A 20,450-nucleotide genomic window follows, 5' to 3' on the forward strand; every position below is an offset into this window, starting at 1 on the left:
AGTGGCGGGTGGTAGGAACTGAAGGGTGGGGGAGACCAGAAAAGCTCACTGTGGTGTGTCTGTTTCTCCCAGGCATAATTGACAGCACTGTTGGGGAACACCGGCAGGTCGTGGCTGTCACTGGTGATGGCACAAATGACGGGCCTGCTCTGAAGAAAGCGGATGTTGGTTTTGCCATGGTAAGCTCAGCACAGTGTCTCTCTGATTGCAAGCTGCCTTCTCCATCAGGAAGCCAGGTCCGGCTTCTGGTTGCCTGCTGCTTGCTACACCTGCATAGCCCATGGGGTGCTTTTTTGTCCAACTCCATCTCTCCTATCTACCGGGCCAATCATGATATATGTAACTGGGGACCCATCAAGTATGAAGAATAGATAAGAGGGAGGGAAGTCATGAAGAATCATATGCAGGAAAGCCAGACCAACATAAACTTGCCTATAAACATGTGAGGTTGTCAACTAGGCAAACTCTAGAAGATTTGTGTTCCCTATGGTAGGCGCTCTGTGTGGCTGGCACCATTGGGTATTCCGCTTTTCACTTCTGAGGCCAAGAGCATCAGAATCACTTGGAAAGTTCATGTGAAATCACATGTTCCAAGGCTCCACAGTTAGACGTCTTAATTCAGTAGGTCTGGGATGAATACCAGAATTTTTTTTTAACAGGCACACCAGTTAATTCTGATGTTCAGAAAGGTTTAGAAGCCCCCCAGATTCTATCCTCACACTCAAGTAGTTTATGATTATAAGCCTCCCATACAGATTGAACTGTTGGTGATTTTTAGCAGTGGAAGGACATTTAAGAAGTCATCTATCTTTAGAGAACTCTTTTTTTTAAGGGTTTTATTCTAGGAAATTTCAAGAATATGCAAAAATAGGGAGAATTGACAGGTACCTGTCACTCAGCTTCAACTATGATCAACACATGGCCAATCTTGTTTCAGTGATTCCCCCCCATTTACATCCCCAGTCTTCAGCTGAATTGTTTTTGAAGCAAATGCAAGGCATCATGTAATTTCATCCTTAAAAATTTCATGGCCGGGTGCAGTGGCTCACACCTGTAATCCCAGCTACTCGGGAGGCTGAGGTAGGAGAATCACTTGAACCCGGGAGGCAGAGGTTGCAGCGAGCCAAGATCACGCCACTGCACTCCAGCCTGGGTGACAAAGCTAGACTCTGTCTCAAAAAACAAAAGAGATTCCCCCTCATTGACTATTTGATTACTCTGAGGCGGGCAGATCGCCTGAGGTCAGGAGTTCGAGACCAGTCTAGCCAGCATGGTGAAACCCCAGCTCTACTAAAAATACAAAAATTAGCTGGGCATGATGGTAGGCGCCTGTAATCCTAGCTACTCCGGAGGCTGAGGCAGGAGAATCACTTGAACCTGGGAGGCAGAGGTTACGATGAGCCGAGTTAGCACCACTGCACCCCAGCCTGGGTGACAGAGCAAGATTCCGTCTCAAAAAAAATTTTCTTTTCATTATATGGGGGGATGGTGTGGGGCAAAAAAAAAAATTTCATTATATGCCTCTAAATAATAATTATATATCAATAATCTATATATCTAAAAGAATCTTAATACCATTATCTCAGAACAAAATCGATGCTTCCTTACTATCATGAAATTTCTAGTTTGTTCACATTTTCCTAACTGACTCAAATGTTTTTATAGTTTATTTGCCCAAATCAGGATTCAGATAAGATCCATAACTTGCAGTTATTTGATACATCTGTTAAGTCTCTTAACCTATCTCTTGGAGTGCGCCTCCTTCCAGCTGTACCAGTAGCTGTACTAGCTGTATAGTAGGTTTCTATACAAACCCATAGAATGCAGATTCACCCACTCAGGCCCCACCCCAGATTTACTGAATTGGAAAGCCGGGAACTGGGGCCCAGAAATCTTAATTAATTATGTTAAATCTGTTAAATGTGTTTTGACAGGCTCTCTCAGTGATTCTATGTACCCTAAACTTTAAGAATCACTGATCTTATAGGATCTCTATGTTGGGAGTCCCCAAAAACACCCCTATATTCATGGGGTTGCTAGGAGGACTCATGGGACTTGGCATATAGTTGTACTCATGACTAAGATTCATAACAGTGATGTAGTAAGAATACAGTTGGATCATAAAAGAAAAAGACAATGGCAGAATCTGGATAAATCTATTTGCAGTCTTTCTTATGCTCTCCCTCCCATGAGGAGTCAAACAGAGTCCATTCTTTCCCCACTAATGAAAACACAGAAATATATGTGTGATGTTCTGCCTAGGGAAGCCCATCATGGACTTAGTACCCAAGGTTTTTCTTGAGGCTGGTCACATAGGCACCTTCTGCCTAGCACATACCAAAATTCCAGACTCCCAAAAGGAAAGCAAATGTTCAATGTAAACCACATTGTTCGGACACAGTCTAGACACAATGAGCCACCTTTATCAGTTAGTTGTTGAGGGCAAGCATTCTGAGAGCCCATTTCCCAGAAGCCAGCCAAGGGCCCACCCTGCAAGCATTCCTTCCTAAGGACAGTCGTCTCAGGCCTGCTGTGTTAACTCTCTTTTGCACAATCCCCCTCCATCTTTTTTCCTAGCAACTTAGTTTTGAAGGAAGTGGGTTGTTTGTCTGCAGAGACTATCCCTCAGTATAGATTTTGTTGATTATTTCACTGTGATTTCCTTTAACGTATTATTTTCTTCCTTATATTTCCTATAAGCAAGTAGTTGGTTCTAGAAGTTATCAGATTCTAGACCCTTTCTTTCATTGAGGGCTGCAAAATGACAATATTGTAATTCTTTATTTATTAACTTAAATACTTACATAAAAAGAGATTCCCGGCCGGGCGTAGTGGCTCGTGCTTGTAATCCCAGCACTTTGGGAGGCTGAGGCAGGCAGATCACGAGGTCAGGAGTTCAAGACCAGCCTGGCCAAAACAGTGAAACCCGTCTCTACTAAAAACACAAAAATTAGCTGGGCATGATGGCGGGCGCCTGTAATCCCAGCTACTTGGGAGGCTGAGGCAGGAGAATCACTTGAACCCGGGAGGCAGAGGTTGCAGTGAGCCAAGATCACGCCTCTGCATTCCAGCCTGGGTGACAAAGCTAGACTCCATCTCAAAAAACAAAAGAGATTCCCCCTCATTGACTATTTGATTACTCTGAGGTTCCAATCCTACCTGAAAGGTAGGTTTTTGGTTTGTTTTTTAATTACTGGTTTTTTTTAAAATGATGAGTTGACTTTTTAGGAACCTCCAAAGGTGACCAATGAGTGGATTTTTTTTTAAGTATCATTACGAATTCATAGATTTAAGTATATTTGATGTGTTTCAATCCACTGCTCTTAGTATGGTTTTGATGCTCAAAGTGATCCACCATTAGGCAGAAGAGGCCTCTTCAACATTGCTGAGTCCTTTAGATACAACCCCAGTTGTTTTTAATAGCTTTCTTGGTTTATTCTTGGTTTTTTCGTTCTTTTTTATCCTGGATAGGAGATAGTCCATTTCTCCAAGGATTCCTGCTTCATTTTAATGTGAAATGGTATTTATTTTATTTATTTATTTATTTATTTATTTATTTATGAGACGGGGCCTTGCTCTGTCACCCAGGCTGGAGTGCAGTGGGGCAGTCTCGGCTCACTGCAACCTCCACTTCCCAGGTTCAAACAATTCTCCTGCCTCAGCCTCCTGAGTTAGCTGGGATTACAGGCAGCTGCCACCAAGCCTGGCTAATTTTTTGTATTTTTAGTAGAGATGGGGTTTCACCATGTTGGCCAGGCTGGTCTCAAACTCCTGACCGCAAGTGATCCACCTACCTCAACCTCCCAAAGTGCTGTGATTACAGGGGTGAGCCACCGCGCCCGGCCTGAAACGGCCTCCCAACACTTTGGGAGGCCAAGGGGGAAGGAGCACTAGAGAACACAATTGGAACTCAAAGGTGTTCCTTGCTACTGAGTAGATCTTTGTTTCTAAGCCTTTTCAGTGGACAAAGCTAAGAAGTATGCTCTTAAGTCTCACTTGCTTTTGTGTTTGTTTTGTGTTTGCTCACAAAGAGAAAATACTTCGTGAATTCATATTTCTGTTTTTCATTTACTTTTAGAATTACATATTTTTTATTCCACTTTTAGAAGAAATAATAATTTTTTAAAGAATTATAGATGTCTAACTTCCTGATTTATAACTTTCTAATTTTATTTTATTTTATTTTATTTTATTTTATTTTATTTAGTTATTTATTTTGAGACACAGTCTCACTCTGTCGCCCAGGCTGGAGTGCAGTGGCATGATCTTGGCTCACTGCAACCTCTGCCTCCCAGGTACAAGCAGTTCTCCTGCTTCAGCGTCCTGAGTAGCTGGGATTACAGGCGTGTGCCACCACACCCTGCTAATTTTTGTATTTTTTAGTAGAGATGGAGTTTCGCCATTTTGGCCAGAGTGGTCTCAAACTCCTACCCTCAAGTGATCTGCCCACCTTGGCCTCCCAAAATGCTGGGATTACAGGCATGAGCCACCACACCCAGCTTCTAATTGTATTTAACTTCCCTGATTTTATGTTTGTATCCCTTAAGCTGAAAATTTTGATTCCTAATTGCATTAACATGATTATTTTTTGTTTTATTCTAAAATATTTCAAGTAGTTACAAAATATCAATAATATTAATAATACAGTTACTCTGCCAAAAACAATTAAATATTTTTCTCATAGTTCCTTTTATCCATAGGTATATGCTACCAGGAATGTGCCATCAAATTATTGTTTTTAAGTCATTTGTAACATTTGTCTGTGTGTGTGCAGTTGTGCTACCAAGTGGCTACCAGATCATTTATATCATGTTACTTTCCGTTTTGGAGATTGCTTTTTAGGCCAGTGTGGTGGCTCACACCCGTAATCAATCGCAACACTTTGGGAGGCCAAGGGAGAAGGAGCACTAGAAGCCAGGATTTCGAGACCAGCCTGGACAATATAGTGAGACTCCCATCTCTAAAAAAAATAAAAAATTAGCCAAGTGTGCTGGCACACACCTGTCGTCCCAGCTACTCAGGAGGCTGAGGTGGGAGGATTGCTTGAGCCCAAGAATTCAAGGCTGCAGTGAGCCAAGATCACACCTCTGCACTCCAGCCTAGATGACAGAGCAAGACCCTGTCTCGAAAAAAAAAAAAAAAAAAAAGCAAGAGAGATAAAATACATGGTTCTAAAGTCAAATGTACAAAACAAGGTATATTCATACAAATCCGGCTTCCACCCTCATTGCCTTTGCCTTGCTGCTTCCCTCTTAATTCAATAGGTAATTTTTTTCTGTCGTTTTTGGTGTATTCTTCTGTTTGCTCCTTTAAAGTATAATCAAATGCAGTCTGGGCACGGTGGCACATGACTATAATCCCAGCACTTTGGGAGGCCAAGGCAGGTGGATCACCTGAGGTCAGGAGTTCAAGACCAGCCTGGCCAACATGATGAAACCCCTATCTCTACTAAAAATACAAAATTAGCCCGTCATGGTGGTGCGTCCCTGTAATCCCAGCCACTCAGGAGGCTGAGGCAGGAGAGGAGACTCGCTTGAACCCAGGAGTCAGAGGTAGCAGTGAGCTGAGATCACACCACTGCTGTCCAGCCTGGGCAACAGAGGGAGACTCTGTCTCAAAAACTATAAATAAATAAATAAATAAATAAATAAATAAATGTAATATATTCATGGCCTGCCCCCTTAGATAAGTGATACCATACCATCAACTCATTTTTCTACCTTTCTTTCTTCACTTACCAACATAACTTAGAGATTATTTCATAATAGTAATTATAAAGCTGGGCGATATAGAGAGACCCCCATGTCTACAAAAAATTTAAAAATTAACCAAGCAGGGTGAGCAAATGCCTGTAGTCCCGTTACTCAGGAGGCCAAGGTGGGAGGATCATTGGAGCCCCAGATGTGGAGCTTGCATTTAGCTGAGATCCTGCCACTGCACTCCAGCCTGGACAAAGCAAGACCTTGTCTCAAATTTTTTTTTAATTTAACTTAAAAGGAAAATTTTGAACAAAGATGAAATTTTGGAACTGTGCTGCCATACTACTACTCCTAGAACAAATGCAGAGTTTCTCAAAGGTGTCGGAATAACATGGGCTTAAGTGAGATACTGGCAGTGGCAACAGAAATGTGAGAATTTGGAGGTAGAATAGACAGGATTTGCTCTCTACCTTTTAATTAGTTTCCAAGGTTGAGGGAGTAGGAGGGGAGGGTGAAAGGGATATCAAAGATGATTGTAATTCCCAGTCTGAGCTCAACAGTAAGGTTGGTGGCATCAGGCCGCAGCCCTCCTTTCTCTAGAGTGACAGTGACACATTTGCTCTTTGTTTTCTTTTGTGTGACTAGTGTGCCCTGTAGTATTTACACTGACTTCGGAAGCTTCCTGGAGGTCAGGAAATGGAGCCTGGGCTTTATCCACTCCCTCACTGTTTTCCCTCCCATCTTACCTCAGGGCATCGCAGGCACAGATGTAGCAAAGGAGGCTTCAGACATCATCCTAACAGATGACAACTTCACCAGCATTGTGAAGGCAGTGATGTGGGGACGAAATGTCTATGACAGCATCTCCAAGTTCCTGCAGTTCCAGCTCACTGTCAATGTGGTGGCCGTGATTGTAGCCTTCACTGGAGCCTGTATCACTCAGGTGAAGGGGGTGTGGGTGGGCTGAGACGGGAGGGATGAGTCAGGGGCTAAGGAACATGGAGTGAAGACTACGGTGTGTTTACTGAAGAGTAAAGACAGCGTTTCCCCATGACATTGGGACAGGAGTTAGCTCTTCTAAGTCTGCTGTCTTCATCTGCTTATGTAGATGGTAACTTACAGGCCTTAGCTTAGCACTTATGTGTCAGCCACTGTAATAAGCATTTATATGCACTATCTGTATTCTTCAAAAATGACCTTGTGAAGTAGGTATTATTATCCCCATTTTATGGGTGAGGAACTTGAGGCTCAAGGAAGTTAAGTAGCTTTCTCACAGTCACTCAGCTAGGAAGTGGCCAGATTCCAAGTCTAGGTGGGTCGTGGGAGCTGGGCCATCGACAGGGCAAAGGTGGGCTGGTTTCAGAGAAAAGCTAAAAGGACTGGTTCTTCTCCCCGCCAGGATTCCCCATTGAAAGCTGTGCAGATGTTGTGGGTTAATCTGATCATGGACACTTTTGCTTCATTGGCCCTGGCCACAGAGCCCCCTACGGAATCTCTGTTGAAGCGGCGCCCCTATGGCCGAAATAAGCCTCTGATCTCACGCACTATGATGAAGAACATCTTGGGCCATGCATTCTATCAGCTCATTGTCATCTTTATCCTTGTCTTTGCGGGTGAGCCACTTTGGGGGTGGGTAGCAGCTGGGGTCCTGGTTGGAGGTGGGGGCAGAGAAAGAAGGTAGCGTGAGAGCAAGTGCACAGGTCAGGAATAAGCGCAGCTTCACCTCCCAGTGCTTGCTGTGCTCCCGCTACACGGTGCATTATGCTACTATATGTACTCATACAGTACTCTTGAGTACAGTGTGTACTGTGTGTACTCAAGAATTTCACAAGGGAGGCTTTATTATTTCTTTCTTTCTTTTTTTTTTTTTTTTTTTCTTTTTGGAGACAGAGTCTCGCTCTGTCACCCAGGCTGGAGTGCAGTGGCGCTAACTCGGGTCACTGCAACGTCTGCCTCCCAGGTTCAAGTGATTTTCCTGCGTCAGCCTCCCAAATAGCTGGGATTACAGGCATGCGCCACCACACCCGGCTACTTTTTGTATTTTTAGTAGAGATGGGGTTTCATCATGTTGGCCAGGCTGGGCTCGATCTCCTGACCTTGTGATCTGCCCACCTCAGCCCCCCAGAGTGCTGGGATTACAGGCATGAGCCACCACGCCTGGCTTATTTCTTTTTTTACAGATTCAAAAAATTAACCTCAGGTCCCATAATGAGTACATAGTTGCAGTAAAATTCAAACCTATGATTGCCTGACTCCAGCGCACATAGTCTTACTACCATGCTGCACTACATGAGAGCAAGTATCAATGCAGCAAACTGAGAGAGAAGGTAAAATAAGTCAAGACCAGAACTAACATTTAAAATGTTTAATAACTAGTACAACAAAAAATTAGCCAGGCATGGTGGTGCACGCCTGTAGTCCCAGCTATTTGGGAGGCTGAGATGGAAGGATCACTTGAGCAGGAAGGTCCAGGCTGCAGTGAGCCATGATCATGCCACTGCGCTCCAGCCTGGGTGACAGAGTGAGACCCTGTGTCAAAAAAATAAATAACTAGTGCAGCTCAGATATTGATTAATTAGAATGGACACCAGCCATAAGCAAGCAGTATATCTGTACCAACACATTCTTACTCTTAGTTCAGACCACACTTAACCTCCAGTGCTTCTCCTCTCCCCACTAGGTGAGAAATTCTTTGATATTGATAGTGGGAGGAAGGCACCTCTACATTCACCACCCAGCCAGCACTATACCATTGTTTTTAACACCTTCGTGCTGATGCAGCTCTTCAATGAAATCAACTCCCGAAAGATCCATGGAGAGAAGAACGTCTTTTCAGGCATCTACCGCAACATTATCTTCTGCTCTGTAGTCTTGGGCACATTCATCTGCCAGGTGAGATTCTATCTGCAGTTGGGGCAGGAGATCTGGAATGATAAAGGGCAGAAGCTGGGAGCCAGGGTTCCCTACATACCTAGGAAAAGGAATGAAGGAATTACGGGGACTGGAGCTGTAAGTTGAACACTTTGGGATTCCCAATCTGCTTTCTTTTGCATATTGCTCTAGAATTGGAGCCCATTGTGTCAAGAGCTCCAGTGCAGGGCAGCATGTTGACTGGAAATAAAATAATACTTCTAAAATCCTTTCATGATCTTTCTAAATACACAGAAATTTCACAGAATGACCAAAAGAAGTATTCTCTTCTAGTCCCTTTCTATGGCTCCTGTCAGCCTATATGAAATGTGCATGCACATCTAGTATAGACTCTCCCTGTCCCTGCCCTTTGTTCTGAAGGGCTTATGATAAAAAGTGTTGTGCAACTCAAAGAAAGAGAAGTAATGGGATTTGTACATGTATATTACATAGTCAGCCCAGCTTGGACTCCTCCAATATGAGACTATGAGCTGATCATGTCCCATCCCTCAGCAGGGCACCTCCCTTTATTTGTCCCCATCCTCAATTCCTTTTTTTTTTTTTTTTTAATTTTAAAAATACAGATGGGGTCTCACTCTGTTGCTCAGGCTGGTCTCAAACTCCTGGCCTCAAGCAATCCTCCCGCCTCCCAAAGTGTTATTACGCCTGCCATTTTTTCTTTTTGTTTTTTTTTTTTTCGTTTGAGACAGATATCTCTCTCTCTCTCTCTCTCTCTCTCTCTCTCTCTCTCTCCCTCTGCCTCTCTCTCTCTCTCTCTTTTCCCCCCTCCCCCAGGGGGAGTGCAGCCTCAGTCTCCCAGGTTCAGGCAATCCTCCCACCTCATCCTCAGTTCCTAACTCCATCACTGTACCTTCTCCTTGTCACTAACTGGCTTTAGTCACAAGAAGCCACCAGCTCCCCTAACTCCTCCAGATTGTCTGTTAATCATAGTCACAGTAACTATGTCTGTCTCCCCATCAGAGTGCTCTTAAAGGCTGTTTTTGTCTGTCTCCCCTTTGAGATTTCTTCTTTTCCCTTCCCCTGCAAGCAAATCGGGACTTGTACCCAAGGATCCTGAGGAGTGGGATGATGTGGCTTTGGGGGCCTTGGCTGGAGGGCCAGCTGCCTGTTAGTCATTTCCTTGATGGTGGGCTGCCCCTTTCTCTGTTCTAGATTTTCATCGTGGAATTTGGGGGTAAACCCTTCAGTTGTACAAGCCTCAGCCTGTCTCAGTGGCTGTGGTGTCTCTTCATTGGGATTGGAGAACTTCTGTGGGGCCAGGTGAGTACCGGCACACCCTCCTGGTGCATTCTCACAGCCTGCAGAACTCCCCTCCTCTACATGAGATGGAACAAGCAACGGTGGAGACCCCCCAGCTCCTCATCTTCATCTTCTCCTCTTCCCTCCCCACCCCCACTCAAGTTTTCAAGTTCTTGCCATCTCATAGGATCTCAAGGTGGAATGATCACTTCAGAGGTTTCAGAATTCTTCTCTAACTAAGCCTGGAGGTAGAAAAATCCCTTAGCTTGGCTGGGCGCAGTGGCTCACACCTGTAATCCCAGCACTTTGGGAGGCCGAGGCAGGCAGATCACGAGGTCAGGAAATCAAGACCGTCCTGGCTAACATGGTGAAACCCCGTCTCTACTAAAAATACAAAAAATTAGCTGGGCATGGTGGCAGGTGCCTGTAGTCCCAGCTACTCGGGAGGCTGAGGCAGGAGAATGGCGTGAACCTGGGAGGTGGAGCTTGCAGTGAGCCGAGATTGCGCCACTGCACTCCAGCCTGGGCGACAGAGCAAGACTCAGTGTCAAAAAGAAAAAAAAAAGAAAAATCCCTTAGCTTCTCTGAGACAGAAACCAAACTTTTCAATGGAATTTTGCTACAAAAAAAAAATATATAATAAGGGTCTTAGAAGTAGAAGAGTTTACAAGACACATGTCTTTATTCTCATGAGGCAGCAACCTGGCTATGGGCTGTCGAGCTGACATAATTCAGGGTTTCCAGCCTCTTCTCTTTCTTGCCATGGCTTTATCTGGGTGGAATTCTTAACTCTTACCTGAGATAAATTCAGATTTACAAGATCTCTAGAGTAGCAGTATGGCCTGTGGTTCAGAGCATGGACTCTGGGAATGACTGCCTGGGTTTGAATCCAGCTCTCTGTTTTTTTTTTTTTTTTTTTTTTTTTCTGAGACAGAGTCTTGCTCTGTCACCCAGGCTGGAGTGCAGTTGTGTGATCTCGGCTCACTGCAAACTCTGCCTCCTGGGTTCAAGCAATTTCTCCTGCCTCAGCCTCCCAAGTAGCTGGGATTACAGGCAACCACCACCGCACCTGGCTAATTTTTGTATTTTTACTAGAGACGGAGTTTCACCTTGTTGGCTAGGCTGGTCTGGAACTCCTGACCTCGTGATCTGCCTGCCTTGGCCTCCCAAAGTGCTGGGATTACAGGTGTGAGCCACCGCACCTGGCCCAGCTCTTGTTGCCCAGGCTGGAGTGCAATGGTGCAATCTTGGCTCACTGCAACCTCCACCCTCCAGGTTCAAGCAATTCTCCTGCCTCAGCCTCCCAAGTAGCTGGGATTACAGGCACCCACCACCGCGCCCAGCTAATTTTTTGTATTTTTAGTAGAGACAGGGTTTCACCATGTTGGCTAGGCTGGTCTCAAACTCCTGATCTCAGGTGATCCACCCGCCATGGCCTCCGAAAGTGCTAGGATTACAGGCCTGAGCCACCGTGCCCAGCCTCAGCTCTCCTTTTTATAAGCTGAATCATCTTGGGCAAGTTACATAACCAATCTGTGTCTCAGTGTCTTCAGCTTAGGAAAACAAGGTCATTGTTAATTAGTGAATCAGTTACTATACAGTAATGAATAATGTCTTATTCCTTATAAATAATCAAATTTTAAACTATTACGATTATAATAGTATCATTAAGTCTAATAGTTTCACTTCTTCCTTAATACCACTTTACAAACCTCCCTCATCCTCAGCTCTGGCCTGGGCTATACCTCTCTTTACAGACCCCAGGTCTCTGCAGATAATCCCTTAGTGTCCAGCCACCCAGGTAATGGACACTTTGCCCTAACTGGCCTCAAAGAGCCATTTCTGGAGCTGCAGGCCTTCTCCCCTAAACCTGCTAGTTATTTATTTCATACCTAGATGCCTCCCTGAATAATTTCTTTTTCTTTTCTTTTCTTTTCTTTTTTTTTTTTTTTTTTTTTTAAGAGATGGGGGTCTCAGGCCAGGCGCAGTGGCTCACACCTATAATCCCAACACTTTGGGAGGCTGAGTCGAGCAGATCACCTGAGGTCAGGAGTTCGAGACCAGCCTGGCCAACATGGTGAAACCCTGTCTCTACTAAAAATACAAAAAAAAAAAAAAAAAATTGGCCGGGCATGGTGACACATGCCTGTAATCCCAGCTACTTGGGAGGCTGAAGCAGAATTGCTTGAACCCGGGAGGCGGAGTGCAATGAGCTGAGATCACGGCACTGCACTCCAGCCTGGATGACAAGAGTGAGACTCTATGTCGAAAAACAAAAAATAAAGAGATTGGGGTCTCACTATGTTGCCAGGCTGATCTCAAAGTCCTGGGCTCAAGCAATCCTCCTGCCTCGGCCTCCCGAAGTGCTGGGATTACAGGCATGAACCGCTGCACCCAGCCCTCCCTAATTAATGTCTGACCCAATTCCCTCCACCCTGTTCTGTTTGGTGAAGATTTCTTTTTTTTTTTTTTTACCAATGGGTTCCTAAAGCAGTTTTATGCTTTGGTAAAGCTTGGTTGTTAAACCTGTTGTTTGAAACTCTGTTCTGGCTCTTGCCTCACATGTGGCCATGTGGCCTTGCTGCCAGACAGCAGCCTTCCTTCTGTATCACAACAGCTTTTTCCACATTCAGAGGCAGAGCTCTGGCATTCTTCCCATTTCAAAACCCTTGACTCCATATCAGATTGCCCATACAGTCCCTCTTCCCCACATGAGCCCTGGCTACTCCTTATCTTGTCCGGAAAGAACTGACTGACAGGTGCTGAGCTCACCGGGAAATTTATTTCAAATTTCAAACCCTATGTACTGCTCCTTGTCTTCTGATAATACTCATGTGACCCCTCTTCTATGGACTGTCCCATCCACTTCCTCACCTCAAGCCCAAGAAAACTTTTGGTATCCTTTCACAAGAGTTTGTAACACAGAAACTACTTTGCATGTGGCAACTAAGAAAGGGGTCATTCATTTCCAATACCCTTCTCAACCCCTTGCCTATACATAGGCAATATCACCATCTTCTCCCCAAACTCTTTTCCCCCAGGTCCTGGTCTCTGTTTCTTCCTACTGCGTACCATGCTGTATAGTTCTGTTAACCTTAAAAGACAGATTGCAAAATGGAACAGAAGAAATGAGACAGAAAGAGGAAAATGAAGTATATGACCAGGCAGATGGCTGGTCAATTACTAGAATAGAAGCTCTCTTTTGTGTGTGTCCATAAATACAGAAAACCTTCCTAAAAGCCTGACCGCTGGTGGGCACTTGGAGAATGCTTGCCTGGATGGATTGGTGCTTCTGCCCACTGCTCTTCCAGTGGGAAGGGTGGTAGGGCAAAGAGTAACCTGCCCAAGGGCCTGGCTCATGTAAGTTGACTGACAGCTCTTCTCACGCTGATTCTGACGTCTTCCTCTTCGCTGCGCTTGTTTTCAGTTCATCTCCGCAATACCTACCCGATCCCTGAAGTTCCTGAAGGAGGCTGGGCATGGCACCACCAAAGAGGAGATCACCAAGGATGCCGAGGGACTGGATGAGATTGACCATGCTGAGATGGAGCTGCGCCGAGGCCAGATCCTCTGGTTCCGGGGCCTGAACCGTATCCAGACTCAGGTACTCTGATAGTGGTCTGTCCTTCCCTTGGGAGAAGCAGCTTCCCATCTTGGAAGGTGTTGGGAGGGTAGCAGTTCTTGTCGGCCAGCATCTCTTCCCTTCCAAAGGCTCACTACTGATGGGCAGCCCTAGATCCTCAGCTTCAGGACAGACACGCAAAAGGATCTGTGTGGGGTCCTCTGAGAGGAGAGGAGTCAAATGACCTAGACCATGGGACACTATTAGCATAGTCCTTTAGCTCTGGGTTGACCCTAAAGCCCAGCCTGCCACCCTCTATCAAATGGGCAAGCTTCAGCATAAGGTCTCTTGCAAGCACTAGACCTGACCCCAGGGTGGGAAATGCTCAGTTTTTCCCTACCCTTCAGAAGGAAGGAGTTAGACAATATCAATATGCCAACATACCCAGCATTCACTTAATATAGCTTCCTCACACTGCCATTATAGGAATAGATGCTATCTGGAAGGGTCTTTGTAAAAGAAACTCACCTTGTTATATCTCCCCCATTCAAAGTGTAAGGCCATGGTGGGGAATCTGATGGTTTCATGTGTAAAAATGACAATAGTCTCTTGATGTCTGAGCATCTTTTGCAGGATTCAGACTTGCTTCCTGACAAGGAGGAAGCAATAATTTCTTCAAGCCTCTTCCCTTCTTGCAATTTCTGAAATGGGATAGAAGCCACCCCTGCTGCTCTTATGTCCCCTGTCTATAGCCCCACAATAACTTTTATTTTTTCCACTTTCCATGCATCAATTGTAACTACTTTCTCCTGGGTGAATGCGCTGATCTAAGCATTGATAATTCTGTCTTCCCCTGCTCTCACCCCCCATAGCTTTATTGTTTTAATCCTGAGATTTTCCATTTCAAAAACACTGTAAATTCCAAGATCTCAAGGGTGGTCTCCAGAAAACAGGCGTATTTCTCTCTGCTGATTGGCTAGAGATCTTCAAAATAAGTTTCACTGTCTAAAACTGGCCTTGCAAATGTTTTAGAAAGTTCCCCAGTCGGCCAGGCATGGTGGCTCACGCCTGTAATCCCAGCACTTTGGGAGGCCAAGGTGGGTGGATCACCTGAGGTCGGGAGTTCAAGACCAGCCTGACCAACATGGAGAAACCGCGTCTCTACTAAAAATCCAAAATTAGCCGGGCGTAGTGGCACATGCCTGTAATCCCAGCTACTCGGGAGGCTGAGGCAGAAGAATTACTTGAACCCGGGAGGCAGAGGTTGTAGTGAGCTGAGATTGCGCCATTGCACTCCAGCCTGGCCAACGAGAGCTAAACTCTGTCTCACAAAAAAAAAAAGACTGGGCGCGGTGGTTCTCACCTGTAATCCAGCACTTTGGGAGGCCAAGGCAGGTGGATCCCCTGCCTTAGGTGAAACCCCGTCTCTACTAAAAATACAAGCCAGGCATGGTGGCACATGCCTGTAGTCCCAGCTACTTGGGAGGCTGAGGCAGGAAAATCGCTTGAACCCAGGAGGCGGAGGTTGCAGTGAGCTGAGACCACACCATTGCACTCCAGCCTGGGTGACAGATTGAGAGTTGTCTCAAAAAAAAAAGAGAAAGAAAAGAAGTTCCCCAGTCAATCCCACCTCGTTAGTGTATAGGAGAGATAGATGGAGTGAATATTCTAAACTATATACCTGGTAGGAACTTATCCCCTATAGGCAAGACAACAAATAGAAAAGTGGAAAAGAGGCCGGGTGCGGTGGCTCACGCCTGTAATCCCAGCACTTTGGGAGGCCGAGGCTGGCAGATCATAAAGTCAGGAGTTCGAGACCAGCCTGGCCAACATAGTGAAACCTTGGCTCTGCCAAAAATACAAAAATTAGCTGGACGTGGTGGTGGGCGCCTGTAATCCCAGCTACTCTGGAGGCTGAGGCAGGAGAATCGCTTGAACCCGGAAGGCTGAGGTTGCAGTGAGCTGAGATCGCGCCATTACACACCAGCCTGGGCAACAAGGCAAGACTCTGTCTCAAAAAAAAAAAAAAAAAAGAAGAAGAAAAGTGGATTGCAGACTCACTATGCACCTGACTGTACTTCCAGGCAGGTGCTTTTTCTGTCTGCCAGAGAAACATTCCAGGGTGCTGTGGCTGCCTCACCTATCCAGGGCGATGCAGCTCCCTGGGGACACAGGTGCTTCCTGGGGAGCCCTGAGCACTTCTCCGTGTTGCTGGCCTCACATCCAATTGGGCAGGCATTGGAGTCCGGGCACTGCCTGGAGCTCACCAGAAGGTGCTTTACAGTGGTCCTTGGTTTGTCTCTCAGAGGGCTTGGTCCCCTCTGCTGTGAGGCTGGACTGCAGCTGTGGTGGCAAGTGACCAGATGTCACTGAGCAGCCTGACCATGGTCTAGGTGGTGCTTGGATGCATCCACTTGGCTTCCTTTGGTCATTGAGTTTCAAGAAGAGAAACTCCAGGAGACGGCTTGGCCAGGATCAGGCAAAAACAATCATGCCGAAAAAGTGGCAGAAAAGCTTGAAGGTCTCTCAGTGAAGGAGGAGACCAAGGAGGATGCTGAGGAGAAACAATAAATCGTCTTATTTTATTTCCTTTTCCTCTCTTTCCTTTCCTTTTTTTAAAAAAAAATTTACCCTGCCCCTCTTTTTTGGTTTGTTTTTATTCTTTTGTTTTTACAAGGGATGTTATATGAAGAGCTGAATTAAAAAAAAAAAAAAGAAGAAAAAGAAAAGTGGAAAAGGGCTAGGTAGGGAAACGCTAGGGTTCCTTTTCCCTCTCTCAAGTTCCTCCTCTCAGAAAGAAAATTTCCAGCGGGACCTACACAAAGTGCCTCGTGGCATCCAGGCATCCAGAATCCCCACGCTCACTCCCTACCCCACCCCACACTCCAGGCTGCTGACTCCAAGTACCCATAGAACCTGGCGCCTTTGGCTCCCATCTCTAAAGCCCCCAGTGCTTTCCTTTGGGTCTGCTCTTTCCAAAATAACCTGTCTTTGCTTTGTTTTTCTTCAGGATCAACCACTTCTACTATGTGATTTCTTTTCTCCTAGCCAAGATTCCCTCAGTCCAGTACCTCCTTGCTCCTTTCCAGTCTTCTGTCCTGGGAGGCTGAGATTTATGGGTCTTCCTTGCCCTCCACTACCAATTTCTATTTCCTTGACTATGCCCCTCTCTACAAGGTCTTTTTGGTTTCACTGCCTACATAGCTTTAGGTATACTACCTTTCCGCATTGTTGGAGCATGAGGCAGTTGGGCCAAAATGGCATTAAAGCCTAAAGTGAGGCATGTTCAAGATGCCACAGTGACCAAATTCACGCCATCCAGGATGCACCTGACTCTGGAAGCTGATGAGGCTAATGATGCTAACGTGTATCCTGGATCCCTGAGGTCCGCTCCCAACATCAGCCCTTCAGCCTCAGCTGGGTTCTAACAAAACCCCCTGCCACCTCCACGTTGATCTTTGTTGTCATTCTCATCGCAGTGCTTTGGTATGGGAGGTGTTAGAAAACTTAGAGACTAGAATTGTGGAGGTTGGGACCTTGTAACTCCAATAAGCACTGAAGAAGGTGTCTCTACAGTCCCTTCTTCCATGGAGCTGGAACCCCCGCACCCACCCCAAGTGTAAACCCTCTCCTCCTGCAGGTTCAAGCTCCTCAGTCCCAGGGAACTAAAACTGAATAATGTGAGGAAGCAGTGATGTTTCTGCTCAAACTGTGATCTGGATCCAGAAACTAGCCCTAAACAGCTCATGGCTTCTCAGGAAGCTTTATAAAAGGACTGTCTCACTCACATTCTGCCTACTTTCCCATCTTCCCTCCTGGGAAAATGAAGTCCAGTTAATGGAATCAGCACCTTTCCTTCATTCCTGGTAGATTAACCCTTGGCATTAAGCAGATAGATATTTCTAAGATTATTCTACCAGATTCATGAAGGCTAAAGGGAATTCCTTTTGATTTTGTCCTTGTTACTTAGGGGTCAGGGATAAGGATGGTAGAGTTGATTGAGGCCCTAGATCAGGACCATTGTCAGAAAATGAATGGCATGGCCGGGCGCGGTGGCTCACACCTTAATCCCAGCACTTTGGGAGGCTGAGGAAGGCAAATCACAAGGTCAGGAGTTCGAGACCAGCCTGGCCAGCATGGTGAAACTCTGTCTCTACTAAAAATAAAAAAATTAGCTGGGCATGGTGGCAGGTACGTGTAGTCCCTGCTACTCAGGAGGCTGAGGCAGGAGAATGGCTTGAACCCAGCAGATGGAGGTTGCAGTGAGCCAAGATCGTGCCATTGCACTCCAGCCTGGGTGACAGAGCGAGACTCTGTCTCAAAAAAAAAAAAAAAAAAAAAGGAAGGAGGGAGGAAGGAAGGAAGGAAGCTGGGCACAGTGGCTCACGCCTGTAATCCCAGCACTTTGGGAGGCCAAGACCGGCGGATCACGAGGTCAGGAGATTGAGACCATCCTGGCTAACACAGTGAAACCCTGTCACTACTTAAAATATAAAAAATTAGCCAGCCTGGTGGCGGGTGCCTGTAGTCCCAGCTACTCAGGAGGCTGAGGCAGGAGAATGGCGTGAACCCGGGAGGCGGAGCTTGCAGTGAGCCGAGATCGCACCTTGCACTCCAGCCTGGGTGTCAAAAAAAAAAAAAAAAAAAGGAAGGAAGGAAGAAAATGAATGGCATTAATTGCCTCTGTCTCTGAGGAACAGGGCACTGAAAACCAGAGGCTACTTGTGTAAGCCTCGACCTGTAGCTGTTTCAACCACCACCAACCAAAACCTCTTCCTCCCCCTCCCTCAGTCTAATTGCCGAGTTACTGTCAGCATTTCTGCCAGACATTTCAGATCTCTAATGCATTAATGCACTTAGTAGCATTCTCGATAGTGGGCTTGGCCACTGGGTTCTTGAGCTCCATTCTCAGGGAGCCTACCTACTTCAGCCCAGGGAAGGGATAGCTCAGACAAGATACCCAGAGGAGGATGAGCCCAGCAACTCATGGCCCAGGGGTCTTTCCATCATGGCCATTTGTATATTGGCTACTAAATGGCCCCTGTTTTTTATTTAAACACATGAGTTATTTTCCTGGAAAATCCGCAAAAATACGTAGTCGGTTTAATTGATTTAGAGGTTCCTGAGCCTTCAAATTCAGTAATACATAATTTGCCTTCAGAATCTTCAATTGTTTGCCTTATTTTTAAGAGTACAGGTAAAAAGGGGCCTGTAGGTGGAGGTTGCAGTGAACCGAGAGTGTGCCACTGCACTCCAGCCTGGGCGACAGATTGAGATTCCATCTCAAAAAAAAAAAAAAAGTACAGGTAAAAACAACGAACAATCGCTGTCTAGCTGTTAGGAGTGATGGAGTAGGGAAAAGTCCCTTTACATTTTAAATACTCTTGGCCCCCTCTAAACCTCAAATGCCCACTGTGGATTCAAAGGGAAGAAAAAACTAGATTCTGGCTGGGCGTTGGGACTCCATGGCAAATTGTTCCCTAAGTGAAGTATGATATGCAATTAACGTTTTTCTCCTTCTCCTCACCATTGCTTTTTGTGGGAGGGAAGCTCTCTCTTGCTCTCTCCTGTCCCCTTTTCCCATCTACTTCCATTCCTGCTTCCCCAACCTTCCATGACCCTCCCTTCCTCTTTCTTCACCTCTCTCGGACTGACTGTGGAGCAAAGCTGTCTCACTCTCTGATTCTTTGCAGATCGACGTAATTAACACATTCCAGACGGGAGCCTCTTTTAAGGGAGTCCTAAGGCGACAGAACATGGGTCAACACCTTGATGTAAAACTTGTTCCTAGTTCATCCTATGTAGCAGTTGCACCAGTCAAATCTTCCCCCACCACTTCTGTTCCTGCTGTTTCATCTCCTCCTATGGGCAGTGAGTGATAGTCTATTATGATGCATGATTTGCTAAAATGACCACAAGAGAGCACGTGGCATCCACTTTAACCAACCATGGTTATCTTTTCCTTTTGGTTTTTCCCTTTGATATTTTGACTTAAGGGAAGAAAAAGACAAAAATCCTACTCTAAAACCAGACTGTGTGCCCTTGTATTTTATTTTTGTAATGTAGAAAAGCTATTAAACCTTAACTGTTTTAAAGACAATAATTCTGTTTTCTGATTGTTCCTCTGCATTGCTCATTTCTTCCTTTTCTTGAGTTTTGTTTTGTTTTGCTTTGCCTTTTTTGTTTGTCTGTTTGTTGCTTTGCTGGGATATGTTGTTGTTCCTCTCTTCTCCTCCTGCTCCTTTGAGTCTGAACTCTACCTCCTAAGCTTAGATGTGAGGTTAGGCCAGAGGAAAACCCAAGAGCTTTCTTTACATGGGGGCAAAGTTTGGGATCTTTTGAGGAAAGGTAGGAAGGGAGCTAATGTGCCCATGGGTGTGTTTTGACTAGTGGACCTGTCATAATTGAGCCAGTATTAAACTTGGTCAATAATAATAGTCCATTTGGCCACCACTGTATTGCTGACTGGCAATTTTAGCATAAAAGTTGTAGCTGGCTGGGCACGATGGCTCACGCCTGTAATCCCAACACTTTGGGAGGCCAAAGCAGATCACGAGGTCAGGAGATCAAGACCATCCTGGCTAACATGGTGAAACCCCGTCTCTACTAAAAATACAAAAAATTAGCTGGGCGTGGTGGCGGGCACCTGTAGTCCTATAGCTACTCGGGAGGCTAAGACAGGAGAATCACTTGAACTCAGGAGGCGGAGGTTACAGTGAGCCAAGTGGAGAGCCACTGCACTCCACCCTGGGCGATAGAGCAAGACTCTGTCTCAAAAAAAAAAAAAAGTTGTAGCTATAGGTGAAGAAAAGAAAGTAGTTCAGTTCAAATGTATATGGTTGAACATCCCCGTTATTTTACTTTTCTGGGACTCCGGTTTAAAAATCAGTTAATCTTGGCTGGGTGCTGTGGCTCACACCTGTAATCCCAACTTTAGGAGGCCGAGGTGGGCGGATCACCTGAGGTCAGGAGTTCAAGACCTGCCTGGCCAACATGGCGAAACCCTGTCTCTACAAAAA

General features: G+C 45.6%; 1 protein-coding gene, 1 long non-coding RNA gene and 1 other non-coding gene across 6 annotated transcripts in view; all 3 read left to right on the forward strand.

The window, feature by feature from the left end:
* The window catches only part of ATP2B4 (ATPase plasma membrane Ca2+ transporting 4), a 117,250-nt gene that overhangs the window by 87,267 nt on the left and 9,533 nt on the right, over positions 1 to 20,450 (forward strand). For 2 of the 4 annotated variants that reach the window (NM_001365783.2, NM_001365784.2), the window contains exons 15-21: positions 73 to 179; positions 6,451 to 6,642; positions 7,099 to 7,312; positions 8,380 to 8,591; positions 9,783 to 9,890; positions 13,297 to 13,473; positions 19,125 to 19,531. In NM_001365783.2, coding sequence (NP_001352712.1) covers positions 73 to 179; positions 6,451 to 6,642; positions 7,099 to 7,312; positions 8,380 to 8,591; positions 9,783 to 9,890; positions 13,297 to 13,473; positions 19,125 to 19,310 — 1,196 coding nt within the window. In that variant the 3' untranslated portion in view covers positions 19,311 to 19,531. Of the gene's footprint in view, positions 1 to 72; positions 180 to 6,450; positions 6,643 to 7,098; positions 7,313 to 8,379; positions 8,592 to 9,782; positions 9,891 to 13,296; positions 13,474 to 19,124; positions 19,532 to 20,450 lie in introns of those variants that run through there. The other 2 variants (NM_001001396.3, NM_001684.5) reach the window with 2 other exon arrangements.
* Positions 15,483 to 15,607, forward strand: SNORA77 (small nucleolar RNA, H/ACA box 77). Its single transcript, NR_003019.1, has one exon. It is a non-coding gene; the product is annotated as a small nucleolar RNA, H/ACA box 77 (small nucleolar RNA).
* On the forward strand, positions 16,479 to 17,755 carry LINC00260 (long intergenic non-protein coding RNA 260). Its single transcript, NR_046213.1, has one exon. It is a non-coding gene; the product is annotated as a long intergenic non-protein coding RNA 260 (long non-coding RNA).

The sequence above is a fragment of the Homo sapiens genome, chromosome 1, assembly GCF_000001405.40.
Source record: "Homo sapiens chromosome 1, GRCh38.p14 Primary Assembly".
Taxonomy (NCBI): domain Eukaryota; kingdom Metazoa; phylum Chordata; class Mammalia; order Primates; family Hominidae; genus Homo; species Homo sapiens.